Source organism: Homo sapiens, chromosome 11, assembly GCF_000001405.40.
Source record: "Homo sapiens chromosome 11, GRCh38.p14 Primary Assembly".
NCBI lineage: Eukaryota > Metazoa > Chordata > Mammalia > Primates > Hominidae > Homo > Homo sapiens.
Window position 1 is genome coordinate 125,347,903 of NC_000011.10, and position 20,848 is coordinate 125,368,750.

The window sequence follows — 20,848 nt, forward strand, 5'->3', positions numbered from 1 at the left end:
CACTTGCAGTCTTGACTGTGCCCCCTTGAATGCCCAGGTGTCTGGTGACAGAGCACTGGGGCCTCTGGACAGGGCCAAGCAGCCTCTCAGAATCCGTGACAAAAGCTCTGAAGCCCGGGGCTAGGTTTGCAGGGGCTCAGGCCTGCTGCTCCCCTCCCTCTCCCAAAGAAAATGCAAAAAGGGCAGGCTTCCCCCAAAGGGCCAGGACCCCCGCTGTGGCTCAAAGAGTTCCCCCACACCCCACTGCAAAGTCCCAGCCAAGTCACAGATAAGGCGAGTCAGATCCCCAAATTCCTCTCCAGGATGGTTGCACGTGGCCCCTCAGGAACCGGGGAAGTGCACGTGTGGGTGGAGAGGTGTGAGGAAAAGAGCCAGCTTCCGGACACGGGTGCAGGGTCTCCAGCAGCTGAGCTCCCGGAGTGTCAAGTTGCCGGAGGCTTCTGTGCCTGAGCAAGCAGAGAAGGAAACTTAAGCCTCTAATGAAAAGGCCTCCTGTTCTCTTGCAGGAGAAGCCCCCAGAGGGTAATGGGGCAGTGGCCTAGTGGCCTGTGGTGACCCCAAGGAGGGGGAGGGGCCAGGGCCATCTGGGTCCTCAGAATATTGTTCCTGTGTCTTCTTTCGACGCGGGTCTGGCCCTGCTCCGCAGCCTGGTGGGCTCAGGACTGAACAGTCTCCTCTCAGCCTCATGGGCGGTTGTCTCTGGGCACAGGCTACTCTTAACCTCCCCTCCTTAACCCCACACAGGGCAGCCCTCCTGCTGCTACAAATATTTCTGGGGACAGCGCCTCTAAAATGACCCTGCCTTCCATTCACTGGACAGTGAACAAAAGAATGTGAATGAAAGGCGCCTCTCTGTAGCCTATGCCCTCCTCGTTGAGCTTCCTTTGTTTTGCCTTCATTATGACCTTCTAATCCATGGAATGAGGTTACCAAAAGACCCAAGCCCGAGGTTAAAGAGAACTAGTTGCCCCTAAGAGGGGGAGAAAGCCCTCCTTCCTGAGGCGGCTCCCACCCTGACTCTGCCCCCAGGCTCCCTCTTCTGGAGGCTGCAGGCACTACAGTGCTATGGCCCTTCACTTTTTTCCTGGCGGACGAGCATCTGTGATCGATGCTCCCGGGAAGAGATTCCACCATCCTGGCCCTTGGGCCCTATCCAAAGTTGCCTTCTCTGCCAGAGTTCCAGGGAAGGCTATGTTTAATAGGCCCCTGAAACATTCCTATTTCCTTTATTTTGTCAGGGTCCAAAAAAGAGAAATTCCACCCACTTTAATATCTCAAAAGTCTTAATTCTGGAAGTTCCTTCTGATGTCTCAAAAAGTCTATATCTTACCCCACCCCCACCTTTTTCCCTCTGCAATCCTCACTCTGCTCTTGGCTCTCTGGGATGCTGACCACCACCCAGACAAAGATCCAGCTGTGAACAGAGGCCTTGGTTCCCCTGCCTGAAGAGAGAGGCTCCCCCAAAGCCCCCTCCTGCGTCCCTTTGCAAAAGGAAATTGGATCTTAGGGACCAGCGGTGTGTGAGATGGGCGAGGCCCTGCATGCTGTTGTGAAGATATCCTGGTAGTCCGTCTTCTGAAGGAGGCCAGGCGGGGGCGAGTGACAGGCGGTGAGGCCGACGGAACCGGCCTGAAGTCGGCATTTTTAGCACCGGGGGAGCCATCCCTCCCTGTGCATTCTCCACCCACCTCCACCTCATTTTCTTCCTTCCTTTAGGACCATGACCTCCCTCTCCTAGCCATGCCTCATTCATCTGTCCCACCACACTCCCCACACTGTTCTCTGCACAGAGTTGGTGGTTGGTAGACATCTATTGAGTGAAACAGGCCTTTCCAGTGCTTTTTGCAGAAGGTCAAAGCGTACTTGGTATCTTGGAGACTCAGGTCAGGTCAGAGTAGATCTTACTTCCACTTCCTGAAAAAGAACCAAAAGAATCACACACACACACACACACACACACACACACACACACACAGCCCTGGAGGCCAGCCCCTTTAGATGACAGCAGCTCCAAAGCACTCTCAAATTCCCACAGAATTCAGGTCTGTGAACATTTTGGAAGACCCTGGGAAGGGCCAGGCTGGAAGAGGATGAAGCCCTAGGTGCCTCAGGGAGAGGGGACGGAGGGTGTGAGTGCTGTGCTCACAAAGGTTTCTACACCAACAGTGCCCTCCACCCAGGAGAAGAACACGTCCTGCACTCCACAGAGGCTCTTAGCAACCTCCTACCCTACAGTGGACAGCCCTGTATCAGGCAACTAGCCTGTGGCTTCTAGATCTAAATATTTCAGAGCATCTACTGCAGCACAACAGCTCTCTGGACATTCTGTTTCCTTGGGTGGCACAGCCGGGCTGTCTCCACTTATGGCACCACATCCTACTTCAAGAGGAAATCTTGAGGCTTCATGGGGGCAGCTCGCCTGCTTATTGGTGATGGGGAAATGATGGGGGCAACAGTGGAGCAGGCCCAGAGCTGGGAATCTGGAGGTGCTGCTTCCATCCCAGCTTCACTAACAAGTCCCCCAACCCCCGCCCTCCCATACACAAGTCACCCTTGGCCTCTGTCTTCTACCAGCCAAAGAGGCAGGTAGACCATTTGGCTCTGATAGCTCTTCTGGTATCCCCACATTCCGGTGACCGTACTGAACCAAGACTGAGGAAAGTCCTCCTTAATAGGATATGCAGGCACATCTGTGGACACGCCCATAGTCACAAGCCCGAGTCTGGGAAAGTACAGGAGTAGACCGGCATTCCCTGCCTCTTTCCCTTCCCCAAGGCCTCCAGGCAGCCACCCTGGGGCTACAGTCTGAGGACGGGTCCAGGCCGTCCTCCGTCTCACAGTCTGAGGACGGGTGAGCCCTGGGGAGGGGCGAGCTTGGTGCTTGGGGACCCTGGAATCCCGTAGCTGGCCTGAGGCCCTCCTGCCCCTGTGCGCGCTGTGGCTGCTCCAGAAAGCCTGGGAAACAGCGGGGCCAGGAGCACCCTTATCAGGCTGGAACTCAGGGTCCTCCTGGGGAAGGAGGGGTATCCAAATGGCCTCCAGTCCCCCGGTGCTGCTACCAGGCAGGCCCCCTCCCTCTTCGTGCCCCCTCCCCACACGTACAACAGGCCGGAGCTGATGCTGAACAAAGCGCCGCTGCAGGGGTACCGGTTGTTTTACATATGATTTGAATATTGTTTCTTTCAAGTCAAAATAGCACAGCAAGCCCCTCCCCACCCAGGCCTCTTCCTTAGCTCTCATTTGTTGCCCTGAAGGGCGTGCAACCCTTGCCGCATCCAGCCGGCCCAGGTGGCCCAGCGGGGGACACAGGGAGCTGCTGGGTGCCCAGGGCGGGCCTGCTCAGCGGTGTTAACGGTGCGGCCCCCTTTCTCCTGCCCACAGGTCCTCCATGTGAATCAATCCCATGATGCAACATGCCTCCCCAGCCCCCGCTCTGACGATGATGGCCACGCAGAATGTCCCGCCCCCACCCTACCAGGACAGCCCACAGGTGAGTGCGCAGGGGCCGCTGCCTCCCACCACGGGGGAGGGAGTGTGGTGGCCTTAGAGCCCCAGCTGCAGGCTGGGACATTCCAGGGGCCGACGGGCAGAGCCAGGCCTCCCGCAATCACGTCCTGGTGGCACTCCGGGCTCTTTCCCGTCAGCCTGGGGAGCGAGAGCCCTGCAAACACAGACCCCGAGGGCAGTCACCAGGTTCAGACCCCAGGAGCTAGGACTGGAAGCTAGATTAGTGGCCACAGTCCTGGCCTCCACCCCATCCATCAGACAGCAGACAAGCGCAGCCAAGCCCCTTTGCTGTGACTGGGGCAAAATCCACAGTGGGGGAGACCCAGGTACCGGATGTGAGCGGAACCGCCCTCTGAGTGTTTGAGAAACTTCACACTCAGAGGTTTCTGAGTGCCAGGCCCCCCATTCTCGGGTCACTTGGGCCCTTTTGTCCTCCTCTGCCTGCCTGTCGGGAGAATCTCTGTTCTCTTCAGAACTCTTCTGGGCTTCTACTTTTAAAAAGCCAAGATTCTTTCTGCACACCCCGCAACCCTTTCCTTCTGGTCCCCAGCTTCCATCCCTCAGATCAGACACAGCCGCCCCCCAAGATCTTCTGCGCTCCCCACCCCGATTGCCTCTCCTGCAACATGCCCCTCCTCAGCAGTGCCTTCTGGCTGTCTTCATGCTGCCTGCCCTTCTCCTCCTGGAAGCCTGCCCAGCTTGTGGGGGCTGCCCTCCTACATCCTTTAGACCAGCCGCTTTTCCTTTTTGCTTCCCCCAGGTGCTCCTCTTGTCCACCCTTGGTTCTTTGGAAACTTCGAGTTTTGTGTCTGTGCTTTCACAGAAGCCTTCATTCTCTGACCCTTCCCTTCACACTCTCCTGTCAATATGAATTCAATAATTATTTATTGGGCACCTGTGATGTGAAATGCACCCAGCTAGAATGTCCATCCACAAATTCGCCCATGTGCAGCAGGTGCCCGCTGGGTGCTGTGGGCAGGCTACCATCTGCACTCCTCCAGCAGCCACTCTCTGCCCTCCTCTGCCATCCCTCACTCATTGGCATTTTCAAACACAGTGGTTCTCATGGGCCACACGGAAGATTTGTGCAGCATGAAAGGGGTCTTAAGATGCAGATGCCAGGCTTGTGCTCACTATGGCCCTGATGCCTCCAGCCTAGTGGGAGCATGTAGTAGCTGCTTTATACATCATTGTCATCCTCTGGGAGATTACCAGATGCTGTGGGGCTTCTTTCTAGCGTACCCAGCATATGGAACACCTTTGCTCTGCCCTTGAAGGTCCAAAAGCCCTGGTCCTTCACCAATCTCTGAGCACATGTCTACGGCCCCGCTCCCACATATCAAATCATATTACTTCCCCAGCTCTCCCAGCCTAACCCCATCCTCAGCGAGCCCTCTGCTCATGCCAGTAGCTTCCATTAATAAGCCACAGGGTTGAACTTGGCCTTTACATGGCTCTTGTATTTGAAAGCTTCCAGGCATCCAACACTATGTCAAGTCCCTTCCCTCTGTAGTTTCAGCTCCCGAGACAAAGTTCAGAAGGAGCCCTCAACTGATGGGAACCTTTTGCCTCCCAAGAAAGAAGTGAGAGAAGAAGCTAGGGGCCAGAATAGGGGCAAGATCATCCTTCTTTGATAGCAGCAGACCCATTCCCATTCCACTCAGCCAGCACACATCGATGCCCACATATCGATTAAGTGGTGGGAACGTGGGCTCCACTTGTTTTGTGACTGGATTCTCTCTCCAGAAGAATGGGGAACAGAGATGGAGACCCTTCCTGTATTTAGCAGGTGGTAGCTGCCAAGGCCCACACCTCCATACCCAAGACTCAAGGACAGACCAGGGCAGGGCTGAGAGGTCAGAGAACACTGTGTTGGCATGACTGATGGTGGCCCCTTCCCTCTCACCCACCCCTCCCTGTTTTGACTGCCTGGGGAGCTGGGAGAAGTTTTGGTTTGGCGGGGATTAGCCGGAGAGCTGCAGCAAGGGCCTGTGTTGAATGCTGATCCAGAAGCCTAATTTAGTGATCAGCATACAGCTGGATTAATAAATCCCAGCTATCAAGGGATGGATGGAGGTGGGCTGCAGCCCTAAGGTGCTCAGCCCCCCAGAAGTCACCACTGAGCTGCTCTAGCCTTTGTGAGGAAGAAGGGAGTCTCCACTTCCATATCTAAGGTCTCAGACAGAAGCCAGACACAGGCACTGCCCGAAGGCTCTCCTCTCTGAGGATCCGCCAGAATGTCACCATTTAAAATCTTCATATTTAGAGCAAAGGAATAATTTGCCCTGGGGAAGCTGCCATCTATTTGTAACCCTGGCAATCCATGAGTGAAATGTCTGATGAGAAGCATCAGTGTCCATGGTGAACTGACCAGGTCAAGATGTCAGGGTCTTTACGGCCTTGATGAAGGCACTAGGCTATGCCCAAATTGCCATTGGCCTTCCCCAAGCTGAGCTGGTTCCCAAGGAAACCGAGCAGGATGTGGGGCTAAGGGAAAGGAGCTAGGGCAGGGGTGGAGTGGGAGGGATGGGGGAGCTGGGGGATGCCCCCAGAACAAAGGCTTCTGACTCTAGGGGGAAAGGCTGTTCTCTCCAAAGAATGCTAGTATTTGAGGGCCTTCTGCCCACTCTTTCGGGCTTCTAGGAGGGGCTCCCTTGTAGGAACAGCTCTTCCGTGCATGCCTGGCTGCTGGCACTTTCTGCAAACTTGCATTGGACCCCTGACTTCTTCCCTTTATCTTTTCGAGATATGGACCCCAGCTTCCTAGGGGGAGACTGCTGCATTTCCCTTCAGAATGCTCATATCCCCAAGAACCAGCCGCTCTCTGAGACTCCACATGTTCAGGGAAGCAGGACCTGATGGGAACATGGGCCAGGCACACCAGGGAATCCTGTCCAAAACAGAGCTCTCAGGAAACAAAGCCCACTCCCTCCTCATTCCTTTAGGTCTAATCTCATTACTTGTGGACCACGTATGACTTGTTTCCTCACAACCTGGGCAGCTGAGCACACCTCTCCATCACCTCTTCAGAAACCCAGTTTCTTCCACAGGCAACAAATGGGCAGTCTCTGATATGAAGTCCCCCAAATGAAAAAGGAAGCGAGACGCAGAGCCCTTCCTCTGAGACCCATGCGATCGTTTTAATAATGTTCCCGTTGTGCTAAGGGCTAGCAATACCGAGCATAATCTATTCAAATGCACAGGAGAATCTCACTTTGGAAAATTAGGAATCTGCATTAAAAAATTCCCAAGCCCCGGACCTTCTTTATAATAAATTAGAATTTTTTTTCAAGGCGAGTTCTTAACTTGGCAATTTCATTTTTGAAGTTTGGGGAATAAAGTTATTAAAAATGAGGGAGGCTTTTTTTTCTTCCCATTTTAGTAGAGAAGCATTCACTGTTATGGCCTCGTGCTATTTGGGCACAAGCCAAGTGATACGATGGCTAAGCGGCTTCTAGCCCCTTAGTTCTGTTGCAGTCCATCCCGGAGAAACTTTGTGATTGTTTGTAAGGCCGCCACACTCTCTGTTGATTGTGCACTGAAGGATGACTGTATGTTTAGAAAGTGCAAAAGCGGGCTGGGCATGGTGGCTCATGCCTGTAATACCAGCACTTTGGGAGGCTGAGGTGAGCAGATTGCCTGAGGTCAGGAGTTCAAGACCAGCTTGGCCAACACGGTGAAACTCTGTCTCTACTAAAAGTACAAAAAGTAGCCAGACATGGTGGCACATGCCTGTAGTCCCAGCTACTTGGGAGGCTGAGGCAAGGGAATGGCTTGAACCCGGGAGGCGGAGTTTGCAGTGAGCCAAGATTGCGCCACTGCACTCCAGCCTGAGTGACAGAGTGAGACTCTATCTCAAAAAAAAAAGAAAAAAAAAAAAAAAAGAAAGAAAGAAAGTGCAAAAGCAACAACCTAGTGGAACCCTCCCTGTGACCTACTTCCTCTTTCTGGTGGCTTCCTGCTAAATTCTGCCAGAGTAGCAGCGCCCTCTACTGTCTTAACTACAGGACCCCAATTTCAGCATGCTGTAACTGGGTCCTTGATGCAGACCCCTCACTTTATGCCCTGAAGAGGTAGGGGTAAGTCACTGGGGTAGTGGAATTCTACAATGATTGCCTAATGACCACACTGTCTCTAGAGAGACCTGGATGTGAACTAGGTGTGTGAGCCTCAGTTCAGTGCGTTGTGTTGATTCCAACATCACCCCACTTCTGTTCTGTATCTCTGCCATAGTGGGCCTGGCTGTCAGCTGGACTTTCACAGCCCCCTCCTCCCACTGCCCCAAGAATCCCCACTGACCCTTCCATTTGCTACTATTTCTGTCCTCTCCTGCCTTGCTTAGAATCCCAGCAAGTGTCACTCCAGCCTCCCTCCCAGAATTTTCTTGGGAACACACAACCACCCCGTCACTCCTTCTAGGCAAATACCTCTCATTCATGTACTCTCAGAAATGTCACTCGAGACCTTCCTGTAACACCCATATGCAACATCACCCGCCAAGCGAAGTTCTCACTTCTATAGCTCCATCAGCCACTCCGGGGAGCCATCCGGGTTCACTAGCAAAGGCAACCACTTCACTCCCCTCACCTTCCCACACAAAACACACTCTCACTATCAGCACCCCCCCCCCCACAACTTTTCCTCAAACACAGACACATACCTACTGTTCCACAAATATCTTTGCCCTTGGCTTATTAGCAAGACAAATATTGTATCTGGTCTATTTGAGTATGTATTCAATGTTTAGTATGCTTCAGTCTGCGTGTCCCTGGCATGTCAGCTGCATGAGCATTGGACTAGAAAGCAGAAATCCTGGTAGATCCTAGTCTGACCTACTAGGCACAGCCCCTGTCAATGTGGAACTAAACTCAATGGATAGTTTAGGAACAAACTGATGGGTAGGTAGCTAGGGGCTTACGTAGCATGACTTGATGATGAGTGGCATTGAAAGGGTTTGGGAAGTTCACCAAGGATGCAGCCTCATTTTTGAACAGAGAGAGAAAAGACAGGCAGTTAGAACTCGTAGTTGAGGTCCGGTTTGTGAGGCTCACTTCGGAAGGAAGTCAAGTGTTTGCTTGGGGCCCCTTTGCAAAAGCTGTGTCCCTCCCATTCCCCTCACCCCGATCCTCCAGCATCCCTCAGAGTGGGGAGAATGGTGTCTGGGACTCCAGGACATGGCACTCAGAGATCTGGGGTCAAGACAACATTGTCTCACTTACCCTGCAAGAGGAAGGCTAAGGCTGGGCCAGCCACACTGAGGAAGCCAGACCTGTCTCTCTGGGCACCTTCTTTCCCTCCCTGTCCTAGCACCATCCCCACTCCAGGTGGGGCCAGGGGAGGCAGATATCCTGGGGAAGCTGGATGGGCTTTGATCAGTCATTAGGATCCCCATGCTGGTTTAATTAACTGGAGGCAAAAGGGGGTGGCTGGGGCCCCTGGCTGTGAATGGCCTCCATCCAGGCCACACAGCTGTGACAGGCAGAAGTGGGTTCAGATGTTTTCACACTCGCTTTACATTCCTCTCATCTCTTTAAGGGCTGGAGCCCCCTGCCTTGCAGGGCCCTCTGCTCAGCTGCCTGTGAAACACATTTGCTTTGCAGCAATAGAGTTAATTCAGCAGCTTTGAAAGTTCCCCTAAGCCTTTTCTGTGATGGTGATTGATGGCTCCCTCTGCCCCTGGGGGCAACACCCCAGGGACCATATGAGGGCCCACCTTCCCTTGCTTCGACTCACCAAAACAGACTCTTCTCTTTCTTTTTTCTTTTCTGCTGGGCCTTTCTTCTCTTTGTGCACAGTGACCTCTCTCTCTGCCTGCTTGGGCCACCCATGTCTTTAAGCTGAACATATCCCTGAACTCCAACTTACTCAAGACCTGGACTCTTCATTGTGTAAAAGGCAAAAACAACCTCCAGGTCCAACCGTGGGGCCTTTATGCCCATGTAGGAGATGGTGGGCTGTCAGCATGGCTTTAAACTTGGGAAGAAACACTCTACTGGCCTGGTCTAGGTATTTTATTTGATGAACTTACTATATTCTGATATTTACCAAAAACAGAGATTTTATTGTCTACTCCCTTGTCCCCAAGCAGAACGAATGAATGCCCTAAACAGCTACAAAAATAATTAATGGCCCTGGGATACAAAGCCTAAAATAAATCAGGGGACAGGTGATCCAAGTCAGCAGCGGGTCTGGGGAGGACCTTACATGCTCTGCCTGCCTTTCGCACGCCGTTGGTCTTAGTTGGTCTTCAGAAAGCTTTGGTGTCTGTGCGGCCTGGCAGGAGGCAGGTGGGTGAGTTAGGGCCCCAGGATGCTTGCTGTTCTTGAAGTCTGTGGTCTGAAGAGGAGGATGGAATGACTCAATCTCGTAGAAATTCAGCAATCAGGACTTGTAATAAGAATTTGTATAATTATCAGCTCCACTGCTGATGAATTATACAAATTTAGGCAAGTAATTTCAGAGCTATTTCTTTCATCCACTTATCCATTCGATAAACATTGAGTGTGTCCTGTGGGCCATGCGGACATTGTGCTGTGTACTGGGGTGCAAAATCAACAGAGTTCCTGTCCTCTTGGAGCTTAGAGTCCATGTGGGGCCTTAGTTTCTGCATTCATAAAATGAGAATAACTCTGCCCTCCCTGTCTCACGAGGCTGTTGAGAGTGTGGGAACAAAAAGTACAGTGGTGTTCCTCAGCCCCTTTTCACCCTCACCCCAACTTCATTCTTCACTCGATCACCTGCACATCTCCAGCAGCCCAGATGGGATTTAACCTTAATTACTTTTTATTAGGAACATAATAGGCATGTCAAATAGGTTTTACCAGCTATGAACACCCCCTTACACACACGCACACACATAGATGTGCACACACAGGGATTCTGGTGTGCCCTCTGAAGGACCTATTGGAAATCACTGGTTTTGGACTATTACAAAAGGGAAGGATCTTCCAGAGGGAAGCGATGGGATGGGCAGGAGGCCATCAGTTCCCGGGAAAATGCACAAAGCTGGGAAGTGGAGTCCACAGCTTTCCTCTTCTTGGCCTCCTGTCAGTGACAGCCCAGGAAATGCAGTTAGGGGCAGTGAATGTTCCATGAGTCACATTGTGTAAACCACCACTTACAAACCCTTTTAAAATTAATTAACTAACTGAAACCCCCATTGTACACCACTGAGCAACTCTTCTATGGTCTGTTCTGTCCACTTGGCCTGGGATCAGAATAGAGGTGACCGAGGCCTGCTGTTCCAAGAGCCTCTTTGAGCTACACTGGGCTGTCCGGCTCTGATGCCGGCCCTTCCTCTCCCTGGGCTAACTGGGTTGGGGAATATTTTGAGGGGCCTTCTTTGGCCTCTCCCAGGATTTGGGATCCCTGAGGCCTTTAACACATCACTCAGTCATTGCCTCCTTCTGGTCATCCTTCAGTCATTTAACATGTGGGAGTACACTGCGGGCAGGCATGGGAGCTGGGAGACCAGCCCGCTCATGAGACAGGCAAAGGGCCTGGTGTTGCCGGTGTTGGGGTCCGTTCAGATGAGGCAGGAGTCCAGTCTTCTGCGGCCTGGGGAGGGAGGAGAAGCAGGAAAGGCTTCTTGGAAGAGTTGAAGCTGCAGCTGGGTGGGAGGCAGGTTGCAGGGGAGATGAGGACAGTCCCTGCTGAGGCAGCTGTGGGAGCAAAGGCAGGAAGGTAGACACCATCGGAAAGGCAGGAAGGTGGACACCATCGGAAAGGCAGGAAGGTGGACACCATCAGGTGCGCTCAGGCAACCAAGGGTAGGTGTGAGGCGATAGGGTAAGGGGAGGAGGGCTGTGCAGGTGACAAGGCTGCGGATCCGTGAGCAGCTTTCAGTAGCTTTGAAAGTTCCCCTAAGCTTTTTCTGTGACTGTTAGCGAAGGGTCCCTCTGCCCCAGGGGCAACACCCCAGGGACCATATGGGGACCCACCTTCCCTTGCTTTGACTCATCAAAACAGACTCTTCTCTTTCTTTTTTGTTTTCTGCTGGGCCTTTCTTCTCTTTGTGCACCTTGACCGCTCTCTCTGCCTGCTTGAGCCACCCATGTCTTTAAACTGGACATATCCCCATACTCCAACTCGCCTGAGCAGGCCCAGGTCTGGAGCGCCCTGGACTCTGTGCCCCCCAACAATGTTCATGTCCCCTGTTGCCTCCTACCTATTAAGGCCAGACTTGATGTTTACCAAGTGACCTCAAGCCCTGACCTCTTCCCGGGTCCTTGGCTTCTCTCCTGGTTGCCAGGAAACTGATCCCATACCTGGCTTGCCCCAAACTGGAGGGAGTACCAGCCCTGCCGGGCCCGCCTGAAGCCTCAGTGGCCCCTTGAGGGCTAGGCCTGGGCAGCCCCAGGGGGCCAGAACACAAGGTTTTGGCAGCCTAAGGGGGCCCTCCTGGGGCTGGCTGGCACCTACTCTGCCATGTCAGGTGGAGGGCTCAGAAGAGGGGATGTCCTCTTAGGAGTGTCTGTGCTTTTTTTATATTTTTAGTAGAGATGGAGGTTCTCCATGTTGGTCAGGCTGGTCTCGAACTCCCGACCTCAGGTGATCTGCCCGCCTCGGCCTCCCAAAGTGCTGGGATTACAGGCGTGAGCCACCATGCCCGGTGTAATCCCAGCTATACGGGAGGCTGAAGCAGGAGAATCGCCTGAATCCAGGAGGCAGAGGTTGCGGTGAGCCGAGATGGTGCCATTGCACTCCAGCCTGGGCAACAAGAGCGAAACTCCATCTCAAAAAAAAAAAAAAGAAAAAGGAAAAAAAGGAGTGTCTGTGCTGAGAAGGTGAAGGCTTGGGTGTTCAGCGTTTTCAGAAAGAGGCCCTGTGGGAGGTGTGTGGGGGTTTAATAGTCATAACAAGCAAGACTGTATGCAGAGGAGTGGGGGCACTGGGGCCGGATCTGAACAGGGGGTGGGATTTGGATTTGATTCAGAGGAGAAATCTAGCAAAAGGAAGCATTAGAATTGCTTAGAAACCAAGGTTTGCGGGGCATCTGCTGCTTGCAATGCACCCTCACATATGGTCTCGCAGTAGCCCTGGGAAGAGATATTAATAGCTCCATTTTTACCTCATGGGGAAACTGAGGCTCAGAGGAACTGAGTCCTTGCCTTGGGCATGCCACTCAATTCCAAGCTGGTAACGCATAATGTAACCTTCTGTGACACCAGGGGCCGCCTGTTCCTGCACTTGAACTCACACTTGCCTACCTCCCAGGGAATTTATGCAGAATGGGTTCCTTCAGCAGGGGTGGCACCCACACTGGTAGGACCCCCAGGGCAGCCCACATGAGAGAAACAACAGCAGCCAGCTCTCAGGGTGTGGGCTGTAGGCTGTGTGGATTTTATTAACAATAACCGCCATATGCTGAATAGCTACTGAGGGCCAGCTACTTTGCATATAATTGTCTCATTTAATTCTGAACACCCTGTACCTTGAGTATAATTATTCCCATTTTATAGATGAGAACCCTGGTTGAAAAAGGTTGAGTAACTTGCCCAAATCACACAGGCAGGAGAGAGCCAAATACAAAGCAGAGATTCATCCCAGCACAGCGTGCTCTGTCCCATTGTTTCCAGCTCTGGGCTGGACACCCAAATCCCCCCAGTCAGTTATGTGGTCAGGAACTGTAGACTTCTCTTTTGTGACCTGAGGATTCAGGGTCAAGGAGGTAAATCTGCAGCTAAAATGGTAGCATTCAATCAGACCTGCCCACTCCATACCAGTCATTCCTGATTCAACAGATAGTTCAGATACTCTCTCTACCAGACACTGAGGCTACGACAGTAAACAGAAAAGCCCTGGTCCTGCCCTCAAGGATCCTACAGTCTAGTGAGGAGGGAGGCGAGTGAGCAGACAGGTCACAGCAGCATGCTGAGGGCCACGCAGGCCTGGGGCAGAGGAGCCTGGCCTGGTTCTGGATGCTCTGCCACCATCCACTGGAGGAGACAGACATCCCCATCATGGCGGTGGGAGGTAGGAAGCACCTCGCCTATTTTTCAGATGAGAAACCTGAAACCCCAGAAGGTAAAGTTCCATCTTTAAGGCTGTAAGTGGTAAGAGTGGGATTCAAAACTAGTTCTATCTGAAACCCACGCTTCTGCTCTCCCCAATGCCAACCATCTTCTTTTTTTTATTTATTTTTTTGACTTTATTTATTTATCTTATTATACTTTAAGTTCTAGGGTACATGTGCACAATGTGCAGGTTTGTTACATATGTATACATGTGCCATGTTGGTGTGCTGCACCCATTAACTCATCATTTACATTACGTATATCTCCTAATGCTATCCCACCCCATCTTTTATGGGTGCTGGAAAGACCTTGGTATCAGCCCCACTTCTAAACCATCTGCTCCCACCTCCCATGAGCAAGGGAGGAAGTCTGAAGGGAAGTTGGCAGGAGGCAGCAGCTGAATGCAACTTGGGCCTCCGGGCTCCAGAAGGCTTGAAGCCCCTGCAGGCAGGTTTCCTGTGGGCTCTCGGCCTCCAGGCTCCTCATAGCCTGGGAGGGAATTTGACCCAGCAGTGAGCCACCTTCGATTAATAAACCAGCTGTGCCTTCCCACATGGGTTCCACATGGGAGAACTGTTTCTGGCACGATCATTGTTGGGAGAATGATTTGAACTCGTAGGGGAGAGGTTTGTTGAGGGAGAGGGACAAACTGGGACCAGCAGTGAGGACGGGGTGGACTAGATGGAGACTTAGAACACATGCAGAGGGGGGTGAAGTTTCATTCTAATTGGAGCCCCCCTACACCTCCTGCCTCTTTTTTCACAGAGAGGGGAAAATCTTCCCATTCTCCTCTTCAAAGAAAAGTAATTAAATGCTCCAATTCACATAGTGCGATTAGTCAGAAGGCCCTCTGTGGGCTTCTGTTTTCTCATCTGTGAAATGGAGATGATGATAACCTACTGCACAGGATTATTGTGAAACATGAAGGCCCACATGGTTTTTTTCTTTTTCTTTTTTTGTTTTTTAGAGACAGGGTCTTGCTCTATCTCCCAGGCTGGAGCACAGTGGTACGACCATAGTTCACAGCAGCCTCGACTTTCTGGACTCAAGCAATCCTCCTGCCTCAGCCTCTCGAGTAGCTGAGACTACAGGCACCACCGCATCCAGCCAATTTATTTTACTTTTTGCAGAGATGGGTTCTTGTTTTGTTGTCCAGGCTGGTCTTGAACTCCTGGCTTCAAGCAATCCTCCCACTTCAGCCTCCCAGAGCACTGAGATTACCGGCATGAGCCACTGCACCCAGCCCAGAAATATTTTATTAGCTTATTAGAACAAAACATGTCACTCTTCCCCTACAATTGGAAAAAGATGGTGCTTAACAGAAAAGAAGCATCTGTGGGGGCTTTGGGTATCAGTGAGGGCAAGTTACATGCTTCCCAGCACCCCTTAAAACACACCAGGGAGCATCTCCTACTCATTTTCATGAGTAGAAGGCCAGACTGCCAGCGTGGCTGGATCTCTCAGCCCCACCCAGATTTTACACACCTGCATATACATCTGACAAGCCCTGACTCTTCCCACTCCTTTTTAGAATGGGAAAAGAAGGAACCTTCAAACCAAGAATCTGGGCAGGGTTTCCTTAGCTGCGAGCTTAAGGCAGAACTGGTTCTGGCTAGATGGCAGACAGAAGTCCAGTGGCTATAGCATCTACGAGAGGGACGTGCATGGAGGTGATGGCCCCAGGGTCTTTGCCCCAAGAAAGAACCCTAGGCCAAGAGAGGACATGGGAAGCGCAGAACCCGCTTCAGCCTCTCAAAGCACTGGGATTACAGGCGTGAGCCACTCACCCACCCCAGAAATATTTTATTAGCACGGGTGCAGGTGCTGGCACAATGTCACATCTCATAGGGGCCTCCCCAGGGAATGCTGCCTCCTGCCCCATCAGTAGCCATTGTCTGGTTCTCTTGATTAATCTGCACAACCTGCAGATTGAGTATTATCTCCTGCATTTTACAGATTAGGAATCCAAAGAGATCAGGAAACTTGTCCCAAAACACGTAGCTAATAATTGGCAGAGGAGCATCAAACCCAGGGCCGGATCCTCTGCTCTTTCCATTCTCTGAGGCTTTTCTGATCTCCCAGGCAGTTCTGAGGACATCATTCAACCTTGCCTCTCCTCTGTGCCTTAGCTTCCCCTGGTTGAAAAGGGACAGTCCTCCATGCCTACCCTAATGGCCTACCTGTCCCTGTCCCTAGCGGGCTGCCAAGGCAGGGTCTCCAGAGTGCTCTGAGGGCTCCTTGGGGAAAAGCTCCAAATCTGGAGTGGCCAGTTCTGAGACCAGCTGTGAATGCACCAAGTGGCCTCTTGGAGTGGGTAAGATGAGTTTCTTCCCATGCCAGACCAAAAAGAATGGAAGAAAGCTACTTGGGGAAAAACTGAAATTAGAGGTGTGCTAGTAAATATTTAACAACTTGCTCTCTGGGAGTGGGGGTGGGGAGGGCAGGGGCAAGCCCTGATTTGCAGCATTTGCCAATTTCCATGGTGTAAATGCTCCCACCATGGCCAATTTCAAGCTCTCAATGTGATGTCAGCCAATTTGCAAAATTTCTGAACATTTAACAATTGGCTTTCACAGGCCAGAACAAGGCAGTTTCAGCCCACTGCTTAATAGCCACGCCCTGCCCCTGGTCCACACCTGAGCCTACTCTTTAGGCTGTGCTGCCCAGTAACTTCCCCCAAAAAAACTTACTTCAAGCTATCCCCATCCTCCTGGCCCCCAAGCCCTGTGGACAGCTGCAGGTCCTCTCCTTTTGAGCTCCAGTTCCTGGGAAGTGGATGTCTCTGGCTAGAAAAAGAAACCTATTTGGGGATAAACACTCATTCGTCAAACCTGCAGGAAATGCAGAGTTTGCTGACTTGGCCCCCATGAGCTATATAAATTTGAGTCATCGTCCTCCTCAGACCAGCTCTGCTGTCTTCTTTACATACTTCTGCCAGTCACAGCCTCTCAGCTGGGGCCTCTTGGAACACTGGCAAGTGACCATTTTTGATTTACATTTTATTCTGAGCTTCCCTCCAGGGCCTTCCCCCCACACCTTTCCCCAAAGTCCTGCCTAGGAGGGGGACTTCATCCTCCTTCATCCCTCTTCATCCCAAGAGCTCAGCTAACAGAAGCCGCTTGTGGATTCCTTCAAGGACACGAGGAAACTCACTCCTAGTGGGCAGAGCAGAGCACACTGCTCCCCCTATATGTCACCCTCAGACGAGCTGTGCAGATGTAGCTATGCCTTGCTTTATGGCAGAAGTACATTCCGGAAATCTCGTGTTTAATAATAACAACCTCTCCTCCATCTGTGAAGCGCTCTAGAGTTTCCAAAGCACTTTTACATACTACACATCGTCAAATTCGAGCCTCACACCAGCGCTGTGTGGTGGGTGGTGATTATTAAAACACCCTCATGGTGTCTGAGCCTGTCAGAGTTGGAGGGGCTTCAGATATCATGTAATCCAGCCACCCAGCTGAAGCTCCCATCTTCTCCACGGTGGCCCAGCTGGTCAGTCCGACTCTGCTTGGCGTCTGCAATGGCAGGAAATTCACCTGGAAAGGGAGGCAGCCCATTCCAGCCTTAAAGAGTTGGGGTATTGGAAAGGTATTATTTAGGTTGTCTCCTTGTTATAGATCAAATGCATTGCTTGTAGTTTGGCCCTTCGAGTCATACAGAACTGATATAATCAAATCTCCTCCTTCAGATATTCAAAGGGTACTCTCATGTTTCCCCTTCTCACCCACCCCCCAAATCTTGCCTATATATCCCACGTTCCTTCAAATATTCCTCATACAATGAAGTACCGAACCCCTTTACCATCCTGGCCGACCCTGCTTTGAATGTACTTTCATGTATTTGTTTAATCAGAGTGGTGCAAGACCAGAAGTTTCTGCATGCTGTGAGCAATGCCTCTGTTAATGCATCCTCAGCTAGCATTAGTTTAGGTTGGATTTTTTTTTTTGACAGACACTTTTGATATATTGAGCCAGCTGTCAACTAAAACACGGCTACTAAGCCATGTCTCTCCTTCCCTGCACTTCAATATTGATTTTTCTTGGCCCAAATGTTAGAAGTGTTAAATTTTAACTTATTAGATGAGGAATAATCTTATCAGATTTAGCCCCTTGCCAAAATCTGTAAAGATCTTTTGGATCCCTGTTTCACGGCATTCATAAATTTGTTGAGCATTTTTTTAGACGTTCTCTAAATCACTGATTAAAGTGCTGAATAAGAGGATAAGGAGGAAGCATGAGACACTCTTTTGGAAACCTGCCCCAAACTGACATTTATCCTTTAATTGTCATCCCTTGGGTGTAGTTTTCTAATCCATGCAATTGTCCACCAGGCTGCATCTCTCCACATTTTCTGCCAGGCTCTCATGGAAAATACCTTGCTGAGGTCACTTACACCATGTTTTCCTGATCTGCAAGCTTAATGGTCATGTCAGATCCACGAACTGAGCTTTCTGATAGCAATCTCTCATCTTTGTGACCCCAGTGCCCAGCACGGTGCCTGGTACATGGCAGGGACTCAAGAAGTATCTGAAGAAATAATCAGTTGCATTAGTGAATGAAGGAATGAATCTGGCCCAGATAAGTGTGAAGATTACTGGGTTTTAGTTTTTTTCAGAATTCAGTTTATTTGTCTATTTTGAAAATTGGAACAGCATTTGCTTCTACTTTCTTTCTTACAGCACCTCCTTAATACTCATGTATTCCAAAAGGTCACCAATTTGCTTACTGATGAGAAAATAGGAGCTTAGGAAAGTTAAAGAATTTGCCCAAGGTCAAAGGCTAATAGGGGAAAACAGTAGGACTCAAGCAATTGTCTTCTGGCTTCCAGGCACCATGATGCTATGTCTAGCCTCTTACCCACTGAGATTGGAAAGGCTCCCCCAGATCAGCCAACAGTGGCAAGGGTATTTCTGCCTAATAAACGATACAATCTAGGAAAGCAGGTACATTTCTTTTATAGTCTCAACCTCATTCACCACCCATCATTCATCTATTCATTGATTCAACAAATATTTATTGAACACCTACTAGTGCCAGGCTATTCTGGGCCCTAGGAATACAACTGTTACAATCACTCCATGAGCTTACGTTTTAGCTGGGAGTGAAGAGAAAATCAATAAGCACATAAATATAGAATATGATCATGGTAAGGGCTATGAAGAAAAATAAAGCAAAAGGCAGAGGGGCTGTATGGTACTCCAAAGAGGTAGCATCTGAGCGGAGATCTAAATGAAGAGAAGATCTAAATGAAGACATGCAAATGTCTTGGGGATATATGTACCAGCAATGCTTGTATTCACAGACATATAACACTTTTTCTTCCAGAAAGCAGGGACCTAGATTCATATGATGAACTTTGCAACTATAAAATATCTGATTCTTTCAAGGCATATTAATTCATTTATTCACTCACTCATTTTCTCCGCAAGTATTTTTATTAAGCATCAAACCTTTTTACTAAGTATGTGCTAGTTGGAAGCTGGTGATGAAGGAGTGACCAAGGCCTCAGAGGAGAAGACAGATAAGTACATGAAGCCCAACACCACATGTGGGGAGAGCTACCATCGTGCTATGGACAGGGTGATGTAAGAGAACAGTTGAGGCTTATCATCATTCACACTTTTAGAGATTTCTTTGACTGAAGGAAATAAAAAAGCATGAAACTCCATAGTGATGGTTTAAAAAAAATGTAAACCATTGAACCATTTCTTTAAACAAAACCTTAGATAGAAAATCTAATAGATAATATTAAAAGGAGTTGCTCTGGTTGGTACAAAATTGTCGGCCTCGGGACACCTTCAAAAACGTGTCACAGATTATGAAATCCCCTGCCCTAAATATTTGTTATGGCCAAGAACAAGAATCTGTTCATTGCCCACTAAAGCCTGCTTATCTTGAAGTGGCCAGGTAAACCAAATTTGGAGAGCCATTCAGTCATCCTTCAAAACCACTGGGACCATAGCCTGTGGCTTCCATTAAAGGGAATAAATAAACCTGTGTCCAAACGACAGCTGATTCAGCTCCTGTTTTCCTGCTTTTCAAAGTCATCAAATCAACGCTATGATGGGCCAAACGACTCATAAGCACAATTTAAAGGATTCATCCTATTGTTTTTTTCTACTTCTGGGCAAGGGTTACCATATTTGCACTAAGAGTCATCTCTTTTCAGAGTGTGCTGGGCATCTCCTGGTTTTGGATGGCCTGAAATTGTTTTCTAGAACATGCTCATTTGAAGAAAGCCTGCTTTTCTTCCCACTGTAGCACACGTACGAATGGATGCTCATTGTGTGCTCACAGTTCTCTTGGCCTCTTGCTCTCCTCCGGGCACAGCACAGGCCAAGGCGGACCTCACACTACAGCCTGGAGACCAGCACCCTGGCCATGCTAACCCACCACCTCCCCTTTCTTCTCTCTGCAGATGACGGCAACCGCCCAGCCACCCTCCAAGGCCCAGGCTGTCCACATCTCTGCCCCCTCAGCTGCTGCCAGCACACCTGTGCCCAGTGCCCCCATCGACCCCCAGGCCCAGCTGGAGGCTGACAAGCGAGCTGTATACAGGTAGGAGACACTTCAGCTGTGTCTACAGCCCTCAACCAGCTTCAGGCCCAGCTCAGCTGTGAGGGATGAGAATGCAGGCCAAAGGGTGGGCTCGGCAGAGATGACGGCCAATAGCTATTCTCCCTTGGCCTCCTTCCCTCTCTACTCAATCCAGAAACCCCTCAGCTGTCCACAGTGACTCTAGCTTTCTGGAAATGTCTAGGGAAGGATATGGAGGCCTAGACAGCACTTCCTATCTCAACCAGGGAGATGACCCCTAATGGGTATCAGAAACCCTCCGCTCAGCCAAACAGGCAGCTGCCTCAGGACCCTTTCCTCGCCCTGTGTCCTGTTGTTGCTTTCCCTCCATCAAGCCCACCAGAGCACTGGACCTCTGACCGCACCCTCTAGAACTTGGCAGTCCACAAACTTCAGGAGGCATGAAAGTCACAGGGAGAGCTTGTTAAAACACATGGTTTTGGGCTTCATCCTCAAAGAGGACAAATCAGTAGATCAAGCTATAGGAAGAGGGATAGGCATTTTTTAAAGCATTCCAGGTGAATCTGATGCAGCTGGTTATTGGACCACACTTGGATTCATGGTAGTCTCTGTTTTTAAACAATAGGTATTGTGTGTGACTGTAGGTTCTGGCACTTTTCCCCAAGAAGGGGAGTTTGCTGAGGGCAGGCAGCTTGTTTCTTCTTGTTCTGCATCTGCCCCACGCATCCAGGGCTGAGTCTTGAATGTTGCAGAGGGTGGGATGGGGCTCAGGGAAATGCCTGTCTC

At 50.6% G+C, this 20,848-nt stretch overlaps 1 protein-coding gene across 28 annotated transcripts in view, besides 3 other annotated features; it reads left to right on the forward strand.

Annotated features, from left to right (window-relative positions):
- Positions 1 to 20,848, forward strand: part of PKNOX2 (PBX/knotted 1 homeobox 2) — a 268,639-nt gene that overhangs the window by 183,152 nt on the left and 64,639 nt on the right. For 18 of the 28 annotated variants that reach the window (NR_168082.1, NR_168078.1, NR_168083.1 and 15 more), the window contains 2 exons: positions 3,382 to 3,490; positions 19,944 to 20,083. Coding sequence is in view for 19 of the 28 variants with exons in the window: in NM_001382328.1 (NP_001369257.1) it covers positions 3,404 to 3,490; positions 19,944 to 20,083 (227 nt within the window). In the remaining 9 variants the exon portion in view is untranslated. The remainder of the gene's footprint in view (positions 1 to 3,381; positions 3,491 to 19,943; positions 20,084 to 20,848) is intronic. The other 10 variants (NR_168076.1, NM_001382333.1, NM_001382331.1 and 7 more) reach the window with 2 other exon arrangements.
- Positions 1,523 to 2,065: an enhancer, noted in NCBI's record as "H3K4me1 hESC enhancer chr11:125219321-125219863 (GRCh37/hg19 assembly coordinates)". NCBI's record gives its function as "activates a minimal SCP1, AML or CMV promoter by ChIP-STARR-seq in naive H9 embryonic stem cells {active_cell/tissue: H9 hESC(naive)}" and the evidence as "EXISTENCE:reporter gene assay evidence [ECO:0000049][PMID:30033119]".
- Positions 2,721 to 3,384: an enhancer, noted in NCBI's record as "H3K27ac-H3K4me1 hESC enhancer chr11:125220519-125221182 (GRCh37/hg19 assembly coordinates)". NCBI's record gives its function as "activates a minimal SCP1, AML or CMV promoter by ChIP-STARR-seq in naive H9 embryonic stem cells {active_cell/tissue: H9 hESC(naive)}" and the evidence as "EXISTENCE:reporter gene assay evidence [ECO:0000049][PMID:30033119]".
- Positions 3,385 to 4,046: an enhancer, noted in NCBI's record as "H3K27ac-H3K4me1 hESC enhancer chr11:125221183-125221844 (GRCh37/hg19 assembly coordinates)". NCBI's record gives its function as "activates a minimal SCP1, AML or CMV promoter by ChIP-STARR-seq in naive H9 embryonic stem cells {active_cell/tissue: H9 hESC(naive)}" and the evidence as "EXISTENCE:reporter gene assay evidence [ECO:0000049][PMID:30033119]".